Source organism: Homo sapiens, chromosome 10 (genome assembly GCF_000001405.40).
Source record: "Homo sapiens chromosome 10, GRCh38.p14 Primary Assembly".
NCBI classification, from domain to species: Eukaryota; Metazoa; Chordata; class Mammalia; order Primates; family Hominidae; genus Homo; species Homo sapiens.
Window position 1 is genome coordinate 90,291,952 of NC_000010.11, and position 12,608 is coordinate 90,304,559.

At 41.0% G+C, this 12,608-nt stretch overlaps 2 annotated features.

Moving 5' to 3' along the window:
- Positions 9,827 to 10,339: an enhancer, noted in NCBI's record as "NANOG-H3K27ac hESC enhancer chr10:92061535-92062047 (GRCh37/hg19 assembly coordinates)". NCBI's record gives its function as "activates a minimal SCP1, AML or CMV promoter by ChIP-STARR-seq in naive H9 embryonic stem cells {active_cell/tissue: H9 hESC(naive)}" and the evidence as "EXISTENCE:reporter gene assay evidence [ECO:0000049][PMID:30033119]".
- Positions 10,340 to 10,852: an enhancer, noted in NCBI's record as "NANOG-H3K27ac hESC enhancer chr10:92062048-92062560 (GRCh37/hg19 assembly coordinates)". NCBI's record gives its function as "activates a minimal SCP1, AML or CMV promoter by ChIP-STARR-seq in naive H9 embryonic stem cells {active_cell/tissue: H9 hESC(naive)}" and the evidence as "EXISTENCE:reporter gene assay evidence [ECO:0000049][PMID:30033119]".

Below are 12,608 nucleotides of genomic sequence, written 5' to 3' on the forward strand. Positions count from 1 at the left end.
AAGCTTGACAATCTTTCTTAATAAGATATTTAAATGTGCTTAACCGAAAAGGAGTAAAATGTGTTTGTTAATAGCCATGTGTCTTGGGAAACCTGTGCACAGAGCATCTAAATGTAAGTCACATTGCAACAGTTTAATTTTCTTTTTGTTCTTGTCAAAGAATAAGAAGCAAGAGAATCTTCATTTTGAGACTTTGATTACATCCTCTATGTTTAATGGTCTGAGGGCTTAAGCAATAGTGATCAAAGTTTATGCATATACTTTAGAAATAAAATGCATGTCTCACAGCGGTTTTGACTAGGATTGGAGAAATATATTATTTAAGGTTTTATGTCATCTTATGTATTAAATTTTAAAATACAAAATTGGGTAGGATTATCAATTTGGACTAATACCACAGGTGAACATATCTGATCCCAAATTATCCATCAAATATAGAATCAAGTTCCATGAAAACATTAAATCAAATTTAGTTGGCACTGGAAGAAAAAGCTAAGAATAAATAAAATCCTCTACATTTAATTAAACCAAAAAAAGAGAATTAGGCATAGAGCATGTTTTAAAACTAGTAAGAGATCACTGGGATGTATTCTCAAGAATGATTTGGTTTTCAATTTCTGGTTTTACCTTTTACATTTAAGAGAAATAAGAAGAAATTTGAGCATATTTGGAGAGGTGAAAATGAAACAACTGAAAAGGTGGACTGAGGAAGGACGTAAAAATGGTGAGAGCTTAGGGGAGACTAATAAGCAATGGTAATTTATTCAAAATAGATGTAGAGTCACTATGAGTAAGACAGCCTGTTAGCAAAATGTTCCTAAACTGAGAGATTAGGTCCAAAAATTTAGTGGTTACAAAGAGGCTAATTACTTGGCAAAAGTAAGGAGAATTTAAATAATGCTAGAAATTATAATGTTAGAGATTAGTCAATGACCAGAGTTCAGAAATTTTATTGAACTACTACTATTAGTTATATAGGGCAGAAAAGTGCTTCTAACAATAGATTGACAAGGTAGGAGTCAGCATCTTAATGCATATTTAAGAAATCATTAATTTTTTAAATTTTGTATTTGAATCCTAATGTAAAAGTTATTTTTACTTTTACTAAATATATTAAACAGTTTAAACTGAAGGGAGAGTATTATAGCTACACTTACATTTTTAAAGATATACCTTGTGAGTATCCAGAGGTTACCACTCTGTATGCTGGACTCAGTACCAGCTATTTTCTCTCACCTTTCCAGATTTAATGTGTGTAGGCCCTTCATCAATAACAGAAAGTACTCTCAGATACTTACTAGCAGCTGGGGTAGCTAACTCCTAGTTGTGGTGACAGAAATAAGGGATGCAGATGCCCCTGTCAGGCAGTTGTGGTCATATCATGTGTCAAGATCAAGAAGTGCAAAGAGGCTGGGCGCGGTGGCTCACGCCCGTAAGGCCAAGGCGGGCGGATCACGAGGTCAGGAGTCTGAGACCAGCCTGGCTAATATGATGAAACCCCGTTTCTACTAAAAATACAAAAAAGTTAGCCGGGCATGGTGGCAGGCACCTGTAATCCCAGCTACTGGGGAGGCTGAGGCAGGAGAATCGCTTGAACCTGGGAGGCGGAGGTTGCAGTGAGCCGAGATCACACCATTGCACTCCAGCCCGGGCGACAGTGCAAGACTCTGTCTCAAAAAAAAAAAACAAAAAACAAAACGTGTGACGATACCAGGCCACCAGTTGTCAAGGTTAACAGAAAACAAAAGGAGCTGTAAGTTAGAACCACAGTCATGCCTTGCTTAATGACAGAGCTAAGTTCTGAGATATGTGTTGTTAGGTGATTTTATCATTGTGCAAACATGGTAAAGCATACTTACACAAACCTAGACGATATAGCCTTCTACACACCTAGGCTAGATGGTATAGGCTATATATCCTGGGCTACAAACCTGTACAACATGTTACTGTACTGATTACGGTAGGCAATTGTAACACAGTGCAAGTATTTGTGTATATAAACATAGAAAACCTACAGTAAAAATATGGTATTAAAATCTTATGGGAATGCCATCATATACAAGGCTCATCATTGACAGAAATGTCATCATTCAGTGCATGACTGTACATGAAACTTCAGTGAATAGAAGCTGAGCAGCTCTGCCATAGAGTGTATAGAGAGTAGCCTGGTATTGTTATAGCATTTTGTCACTTAGTATACGGTATAAAATCTACACTTAGTTATTTTTTGTCTCTTCCTATTTATTTTACAATAAACTCTTCTGGCAACATGAGCCAAATAAAAAAGAAAGTATGTGTTTCATAAAAAATTAAGAACTGAGTGTTGTTTTTGTCTCTCAAGAGAGGTGATAATTATCATGTGTAAAATGCTTGTTGACATTTATTCAATACCACAGTGCCATAGCAAAATCACCAAGCGAATGATAATCAGAAGCAATATATCTGCTGAAGGAGCACTAGCATCAACCTTAACTGTTGGGAGGAATGTTGAGGAGGCTATCCCTAAACATGGTGATTTATCACGAGCGGCTGTCCACTGTGAAACAGGACTGTTCAGTTAGATCAAATAACTGTTCCTCTAACTTAATTTTGCTCATTTTCAAATCCAAGTCTTCTTAAACATTTAAGAAAATCAAAGTAATGTTTTTTACTATATTGGCTCTTTTAGGGGAAGAATCATTTTTTAAACAGTTAAATGATGTCAGGATTAAATCAGTAGTATCCCATACTTCAAACATAAAACTCAGTTAAATTAAATAATGATTCAATTTTTAATACAATTCTTGAATCAAAGCAAACTGTAAAAAATGTATGCTGCCAAAAGTGAAACATCTGACATTATCATACATACTATTGTAAATTCAATTAAAAATTAAATGATTAAATATAAAACTGTTTTGTAACAATTATCCAAACTCTTGGTGGGTGTCATGGTAAAAATAATGTTAATAAATTTGGCAGATTAATATTAATTACTTATTGAATAATATAAAGTTCTTAATTCAATGCACTTGGAATTTGTTGTGGTGCATGTCAGGCCTCTGAGCCCAAGCCAAGCCATAGCATCCCCTGTGACTTGCACATATACGCCCAGATGGCCTGAAGTAACTGAAGAATCACAAAAGAAGTGAAAAGGCCCTGCCCCATCTTAACTGACGACATTCCACCATTGTGATTTGTTCCTGCCCCACCTTAACTGAGTGATTAACCCTGTGAATTTCCTTCTCCTGGCTCAGAAGCTCCCCCACTGAGCACCTTGTGACCCCCGCCCCTGCCCACCAGAGAACAACCCCCTTTGACTGTAATTTTCCATTACCTTCCCAAATCCTATAAAACGGCCCTACCCCTACCTCCCTTTGCTGACTCTTTTCAGACTCAGTCCGCCTACACCCAGGTGAAATAAACAGCCATGTTGCTCACACAAAGCCTGTTTGGTGGTCTTTTCACACGGACGCGCATGAAATTTGGTGCCGTGACTCCGATTGGGGGATCTCCCTTGGGAGATCAATCCCCTGTCCTCCTGTTCTTTGCTCTGTGAGAAAGATCCACCTACCACCTCAGGTCCTCAGACCGACCAGCACAAGAAACATCTCACCAATTTCAAATCCGGTAAGCAGACTCTTTTTACTCTCTTCTCCAACCTCCCTATCCCTCAACCTCTTTCTCTTTTCAATCTTGGCGCCACACTTCAATCTCTCCCTTCTCTTAATTTCAATTCCTTTCATTTTCTGGTAGAGACAAAGGAGACAAGTTTTATCTGTGGACCCAAAACTCTGGCGCCGGTCACGGACTGGGAAGGCAGCCTTCCCTTGGTGTTTAATCATTGCAGGGACGCCTCTCTGATTATACAGTCACGTTTCAAGGGTGTCAGACCACGCAGGGACGCCTGCCTTGGTCCTTCACCCTTAGCAGCAAGTCCCGCTTTTCTGGGGAAGGGGCAAGTATCCCAACCCCTTCTCTCCTTGTCTCTACCCCTTCTCTGCTTTTCCGGGGACGGGACATGTACCCCAACCCCTTCTCTGTCTCTACTCCTTCTCTGCTATCCTGGGGCAGGGGCAAGTACACCTCAACCCCTTCTCCTTCACCCTTAGCGGCAAGTCCCGCTTTCCTAGGGGGCAAGAACCCCCCAATCGCTTATTTCCACACCCCAACCTCTTATCTCTGCACCCCAATCCCTTATTTCCACGCCCCAATCTCTTATCTCTGCACCCCAATCCCTTATTTCCGTGCCCCAACACTTTCTCTGCTTTTCTGGAGGGCAAGAAACCCCCACCCCTTCTCCGTGTCTCTACTCTTTTCTCTGGGCTTGCCTCCTTCACTATGGGCAAGCTTCCACCTTCCATTCCTCTTTCTTCTCCCTTAGCCTGTATTCTTAAGAACTTAAAACCTCTTCAATTCTCACCTGACCTAAAATCTAAGCGTCTTATTTTCTTCTGCAATGCCGCTTGACCCCAATACAAACTCAACAGTAGTTCCAAATAGCCAGAAAACGGCACTTTCAATTTTTCCATCCTACAAGATCTAAATAATTCTTGTCGTAAAATGGGCAAATGGTCTGAGGTGCCTGACGGCCAGGCATTCTTTTACACATCAGTCCCTTCCTAGTCTCTGTGCCCCGTGCAATTCGTCCCAAATCTTCCTTCTTTCCCTCCCACCTGTCCCCTCAGTACCAACCCCAAGCATCGCTGAGTCTTTCTAATCTTCCTTTTCTACAGACCCATCTGACCTCTCCCCTCCTCGACAGGCCGAGCTAGGTCCCAATTCTTCCTCAGCCTCCGCTCCTCCACCCTATAATCTTTTTTATCGCCTCCCCTCCTCACACCTGCTTCGGCTTACAGTTTCATTCCGTGACTAGCCCTCCCCCACCTGCCCAGCAATTTATTCTTAAAAAGGTGGCTGGAACTAAAGGCATAGTCAAGGTTAATGCTCCTTTTTCTTTATCGCAAATCAGAAAGCGTTTAGGCTCTTTTTCATCAAATATAAAAATCCAGCCCAGTTCATGGCTCGTTTGGCAGCAACCCTGAGACGCTTTACAGCCCTAGACCCTAAAAGGTCAAAAGGCCGTCTTATTCTCAATATACATTTTATTACCCAATCTGCTCCCAACATTAAATAAAACTCCAAAAACTGGAATCTGGCCCTCAAACCCCACAACAGGACTTAATTAACCTCACCTTCAAGGTGTGCAATAACAGAAAAAAGATGCAATTCCTTGCCTCCACTGTGAGACAAACCCCAGCCACATCTCCAGCACACAAGAACTTCCAAACGCCTGAACTGTAGCAGCCAGGCGTTTCTCCAGAACCTCCTCCCCCAGGAACTTGCTACACATGCCAGAAATCTGGCCACTGGGCCAAGGAACGCCCGCAGCCCGGGATTCCTCCTAAGCCGCGTCCCATCTGTGTGGGACCCCACTGAAAATCGGACTGTTCAACTCACCTGGCAGCCACTCCCAGAGCTCCTGGAACTCTGGCCCAAGGCTCTCTGACTGACTCCTTCTTGGCTTACCGGCTGAAGACTGACGCTGCCTGATCACCTCAGAAGCCCCGTAGACCATCACGGATGCCGAGCTTTAGGTAACTCACAGTGGAGGGTAAGTCCATCCCCTTCTTAATCAATATGGAGGCTACCCACTCCACATTACCTTCTTTTCAAGGGTCTGTTTCCCTTGCCTCCATAACTGTTGTGGGTATTGACGGCCAGGCTTCTAAACCTCTTAAAACTCCCCCACTCTCGTGCCAACTTAGACAATACTCTTTTATGCACTCTTTTTTAGTTATCTCCACCTGCCCAGTTCCCTTATTAGGCCGAGATATTTTAACCAAATTATCTGCTTCCCTGACTCTTCCTAGACTACAGCCACATCTCATTGCCGCCCTTCTCCCCAACCCAAAGCCTCCTTCGAGTCTTCCTCTCATATCCCGCCACCTTAACCCACAAGTATAGGACATCTCTACTCCTTCCCTGGCAACCGATCACATGCCCATTACCATTCCATTAAAACCTAATCACCCTTACCCCGCTCAACGGCAATATCCCATCCCACAGCACACTTTGAAAGGATTAAAGCCTGTTAACACTCGCCTGCTACAGCATGGCCTTTTAAACCCTATAAACTCTCCTTACCATTCCCCCATTTTACTTGTCTTAAAACCAGACAAGGCTTACAAGTTAGTTCAGAATCTGCGCCTTATCAACCAAATTGTTTTGCCTATCCACCCCGTGGTGCCAACCCATATACTCTCCTATCCTCAATAGCTCCCTCTACTACCCATTATTCTGTTCTAATCTCAAACATGCTTTCTTTACTATTCCTTTGCACCCTTCATCCCAGCCTCTCTTTGCTTTCACTTAGACTGACCCTGACACCGATTAGGCCCAGCAAATTACCTGGGCTGTACTGCCACGAGGCTTCACAAACAGCCCCCATTACTTCAGTGAAGCCCAAATTTCATCCTCATCTGTTACCTATCTCGGCATAATTCTCATAAAAACACACGTGCTTTCCCTGCTGATCATGTCCGATTAATCTCCCAAACCTCAATCCCTTACAAAACAACAACTCCTTTCCTTCCTAGGCATGGTTAGTGCGGTCAGAATTCTTACACAAGAGCCAGGACCACACCCTGTAGCCTTTCTGTCCAAACAACTTGACCTTACTGTTTTAGCCTAGCCCTCATGTCTGCGTGCAGAGGCTGCCGCTGCTTTAATACTTTTGGAGGCCCTAAAAATCACAAACTATGCTCAACTCACTCTCTACATGTCTCATAACTTCCAAAATCTATTTTCTTCCTCATACCTGACGCATATACTTTCTGCTCCCCAGCTCCTTCAGCTGTACTCACTCTTTGTTAAGTCCCACAATTACCATTGTTCCTGGCCCGGACTTCAATCTGGCTGCCCACATTATTCCTGATACCACACCTGACCCCCATGACTGTATCTCTCTGATCCACCTGATATTCACCCCATTTCCCCATATTTCCTTCTTTCCTGTTCCTCACCCTGATCACGCTTGATTTATTGATGGCAGTTCCACCAGGCCTAATCACCACATACCAGCAAAGGCAGGCTATGCTATAGTATAAGCCACTAGCCCGCCTCTCAGAACCTCTCATTTCCTTTCCATCGTGGAAATCTATCCTCAAGGAAATAACTTCTCAGTGTTCCATCTGCTATTCTACTACTCCTCGGGGATTATTCAGGCCCCCTCCCTTCCCTACACATCAAGCTCCAGGATTTGCCCCCACCCAGGACTGGCAAATTAGCTTTACTCAACATGCCCAAGTCAGGAAACTAAAATACCTCTTAGTCTAAATAGACACTTTCACTGAATAAGTAAAGGCCTTTCCTACAGGGTGTGAGAAGGCCACCGTAGTCATTTCTTCCCTTCTGTCAGACATAATTCCTCAGTTTAGCCTTCCCACCTCTATACAGTCTGATAACAGACCAGCCTTTATTAGTCAAATCAGCCAAGCAGTTTTTCAGGCTCTTAGTATTCAGTGAAACCTTTATATCCCTTACGGTCCTCCCTCTTCAAGAAAAGTAGAACGGACTAAAGGTCTTTTAAAAACACACCTCACCAAGCTCAGCCACCAACTTAAAAAGGACTGGACAATACTTTTACCGCTTCTGCTTCTCAGAATTCAGGCCTGTCCTCAGAATGCTACAAGGTACAGCCCATTTAAGCTCCTGTATAGATGCTCCTTTTTATTAGGCCCCAGTCTCATTCCAGACACCGGACCAACTTAGACTGTGCCCCCAAAAAACTTGTCATCCCTACTATTTTCTGTCTAGTCATACTCCTATTCTCCATTCTCAACTACTCATACATGCCCTGCTCTTGTTTACACTGCCGGTTTACACTGCTTCTCCAAGCCATCACAGCTGATATCTCCTGGTGCTATCCCCAAACTGCCACTCTTAACTCTTGAAGTAAATAAATAATCTCCGCTGGCAGGAATATGCTGAATCTCCTCAGGCACTCTCTAATCAGATATCCTGAGTCGTCCCAATTCTTAGACCTTTTATACCTGTTTTTCTCCTTCTTATTCCATTTAGTTTTTCATTTCATACAAAACCGTATCCAGGCCATCACCAATCATTCTATACAACAAATGTTTCTTATAACAACCCCACAATATCACCCCTTACCACGAGATCTCCTTTCAGCTTAATCTCTCCCACTCTAGGTTCCCACGCCGCCCCTAATCCCGCTTGAAGCAGCCCTGAGAAACACCGCCCATTCTCTCTCCATACCACCCCCTAAAAATTTTCGCCGCCCCAACACTTGCAACACTATTTTGTTTTATTTTTCTTATTAATATAAGAAGGCAGGAATGTCAGGTCTCTGAGCCCAAGCCAAGCCATCGCATCCCCTGTGACTTGCACGTATATACGCCCAGATGGCCTGAAGTAACTGAAGAATCACAAAAGAAGTGAAAAGGCCCTGCCCCATCTTAACTGATGACACTCCACCATTGTGATTTGTTCCTGCCCCACCTTAACTGAGTGATTAACCCTGTGAATTTCCTTCTCCTGGCTCAGAAGCTCCCCCACTGAGCACCTTGTGACCCCCCACCCCTGCCCACCAGAGAACAACCCCCTTTGACTGTAATTTTCCATTACCTTCCCAAATCCTATAAAATGGCCCCACCCCTATCTCCCTTTGCTGACTCTCTTTTCGGACTCAGTCCGCCTGCACCCAGGTGAAATAAACAGCCATGTTGCTCACACAAAGCCTGTTTGGTGGTCTCTTCACACGCATGAAAGTGCAAATGTAATTTACATTTGTATTTGAACAAGCTGATTAGCTTGATTAGCCTGATAGAAATAGAAGTTGTCAATATTTTATTAGTAACTTATAATTTATAGAATTATATAATTTATAGGTATATAATACAATTAGAGCAATATCTATTATTTTTATAGTTTGTGTATTGCTCTGATTCACCCCATACACACAATTAGAGTAACCAACCTAAATAATTTTGTGATGAAGCCAATGATAAATACAATGTAAATTTCCTCAAAATAATAGGCAATCTCGCTATTCCCAATCACCAAAAGGATTTTTTAAATGTTGCACATTAGAAGACCTACTTTAAAAGTCAATCTAAATGCCTTATAACAGGAAAAACTTCTTTCATAATTTTTTGATAAATTTTGCAAATTTAAAAATGTTACAGTATTTTATTGTAAATTTGGTACATTTTGGTATACCTTATTGAAAATTATTTGGGAATGTTCACTTAAACCATTCAACAAATGAACCACCACAAAATGTCAGACTTTGAAGCTTTCAGCAAACAGGAATTACTGAAAACAAAGCTTTCAAAGGGAAAGATATTGAAGTTTATCCCAAAAAAGAGAGAAGCTGAACTTGTTTTTAATGAGAATTCAAATAATATACAAGATTTACCTTTAATTTTCAATCATTTTACTTTTGATATTTTACTTTGTAAGAAAGTTATTTTAATAGAGCTTCTATGAAAATAGATAAATTTGTGTATAAATTGTATTTCGAACTGGAATGTAATGTAATTGAGAAGGCGTATTGTTTTTAGCATACACATTGGGAAACATTCTCAAGAATTATAATTAAAGGTGACTGATTTTATGAACATTTTCTCTTAAAATGTACCCTGAAAAGTGGCAAAAACTACTGCAGCTATGAAAATATTAGGGTGAAAATATTTACATGAAGGGGTGGGTTGCCCCTCCACACCTGTGGGTTTTTCTTGTTAGGTGCAACGAGAGACTTGGAAAAGAAAGAGACACAGAAACAAAGTATAGAGAAAGAAAAAGGGGGCCCAAGAGACCAGCCTTCAGCACAAGGAGGATCTCACCGGCCTCTGAGTTCCCTTAGTATTTATTGATCATTATTGGGTGTTTCTCGGAGAGGGGGATGTGGCAGGGTCATAAGATAATAGTGGAGAGAAGGTCAGCAGGTAAACACACGAACAAAGGTCTCTGCATCATTAACTGGGTAAAGAATTAAGTGCTGTGCTTTAGATATGTATATACATAAACATCTCAATGCCTTGAGCAGTATTGCTGCTTGCCTGTCCCACCTCCAGCCCTAAGGTGGTTTTCCCCTATCTCAGTAGGTGGAATATACAATCGGGTTTTACACAGAGACATTCCATTGCCCAGGGACGGGCAGGAGACAGATGCCTTCCTCTTGTCTCAACTGCAAAGAGGAGTTCCTTCCTCTTTTACTAATCCTCCTCAGCACAGGGTGTCGGGCTGGAGGATGGTCAGGTCTTTCCGTTCCCACGAGGCCATATCTCAGGCTATCACATGGGGAGAAACCTTGGACAATACCTGGCTTTCCTAGGCAGAAGTCCCTGCGGCCTTCCGCAGTGTTTTGTGTCCCTGGGTACTTGAGACTAGGGAGTGGTGATGACTCTTAACAAGCATTCTGCCTTCAAGCATTTGTTTAACAAAGCACATCTTGCACAGCCCTTAAGCCATTTAACCCTAAATTGACACAGCACATGTTTCAGGGAGCACAGGGTTGGGGGTAAAGTTACAGACTAACAGCATCTCAAGGCAGAAGAATTTTTCTTAGTACAGAACAAAATGGAGTCTCTTATGTCTGCTTCTTTCTACACAGACACAGTAACAATCTGATCTCTCTTTCTTTTCCCCACATTTACATATTTTAGTAATTTAAAAAATAGAAGTGATAAATTCCTCATTTAGGAGAATGTGCTCTAAACTTACCAGGTAACACAACCTGCAGGAAGAATATCTTCTCAGCTAAAAATTGTATGGTACAGTGAGACAAGTGCATTGGCCGTTTACAAATTTTACATTTATCAACGTAAAATGCAATTTTGAAGAAGTGGGCCTGTTCAAAGGACACATTATGCAATTGTAACTTCTTATGGGAAAATTCATCCTACTGTGGCTGGGTTCAACAAGAATCTGAGTGAGAACCCAAAGCAGTGAGCACCACTGAGAAGCATGTGTTAACAATACTAGCCTCCTGTTTCTGTGTGGAAACAGCGCTGGGTACTGCTAGTTCTTGTCTTGAGAGTAAGAGTTGAGGACAACTCTATAGAGAAGTGTGAAGTCGTCAGAAGTAAAATGAAGTCACTTGCGTTAGGTGAAGAAAAAAAAAAAAAAAACCCTGACAAATAAAGCCGGAGAAGGCCATGAAGAGAGCATTCTCATGCACAAATGCCTGGAAACATGAACTATCACAAAAGAGTCTGACCTTGTACAAAGGCCACATCATAACCTTATACACACATAAAAAATATTTCTGCAAGGACACCAGCTCAGTAACTGCCTGTCCGACCTTGGACTGGCGCCACCCTTCTTAGTGATCCTCCTAACCCAGGATAATTATCTCAAGACAATTATGTAATCCTCCTCATTTTTCCTTAAAAGCGTTTGTTTTCCTATCTCTCTGAATATGCACATAGCTTACTATGGCATGTGTATTTCCATTGCAATGCCCTATTCCCAAATAAACATCATTTTCTGTTAGAGAGCCTCTCCCTCTTTGTTATTTAGGTTGACACAATACATTAGATTATTTTATAATTTAATAATATAGCTATCTTCTATTTGTTCTTATTTTGCACTAGGCATCACTATGGTGATTTGCACAATTTATTTCAATCCTGACAGTTAGGTATTCTCATTTTTGTAATTAAGACTGACAGTCAAAGAGGTTATGTAATTGCCTAAGATTATAAATTGGAAAGTGAAAAAACCTGGGCTAATAAGTAGGTCTGTCCCATTTCTCTCTTTTCTCATAGACTGCCTCTCTACTGAAGAGATATTTGAGTGTGGTTAGAAATGTCTCTACAGGGTACAGGTTTTATTTTTCATTTTTAAATAATGCTGATACTTAAAAAATTTATTTGTACATATTTATGGCATACAAGTGCAATTTTACTACATTGATATACTACATTGCAGTGAAGTCAGGTCTTAGTGCATCCAACCCTGGAGCAATGTACATTGTGTCCACCGAGCAACCTCATAATCATCCACTCCCCTCTCACCCCCTCACTCCTCTGACTCCCAATTGTTCATCATTCCACAATCTCCTTCCATGTGTACACGCTATTTAGCTCTACTTACAAGTAGAGCTAAACATGCGGTATTTCTCTTTCTATAATGCTGACATCTCTTTATGTATCATATAATCTGGTTAACACTGCTGGACATGTGAACAGAAATATCTTACTATTACATCAGGCTTTAGTGACCAGAGGTCTTGGACCAAGAATCATTGCAAACTATGGGCAAACTGTGTGCCTCACAGAACACAGAAGGCAAGGAGTAAAGAGTTATACCTATTTAAAAGAATAGGTTAAAAATATAAAGTATTTAAAATAAAAATAAAAGTGTTTAAATAAAAATATAAAATTGTGTACTGAAACATAAAATATTTTTAATTTTATAGAAATATAAAGTATTTGAAGTTAAAAATATAAAAATATAAATCCTAATATTTTCTCCAACCCCACTTTTGGAGACTAGTGTCTCATGCAGTGTAGTTACAAATTCATAGTCTCTATGGGAATTAGGTTCTGAAGTCAAAACATAAGTTGAACATCACAGATAGCCAAATTACCCTTAGAAAT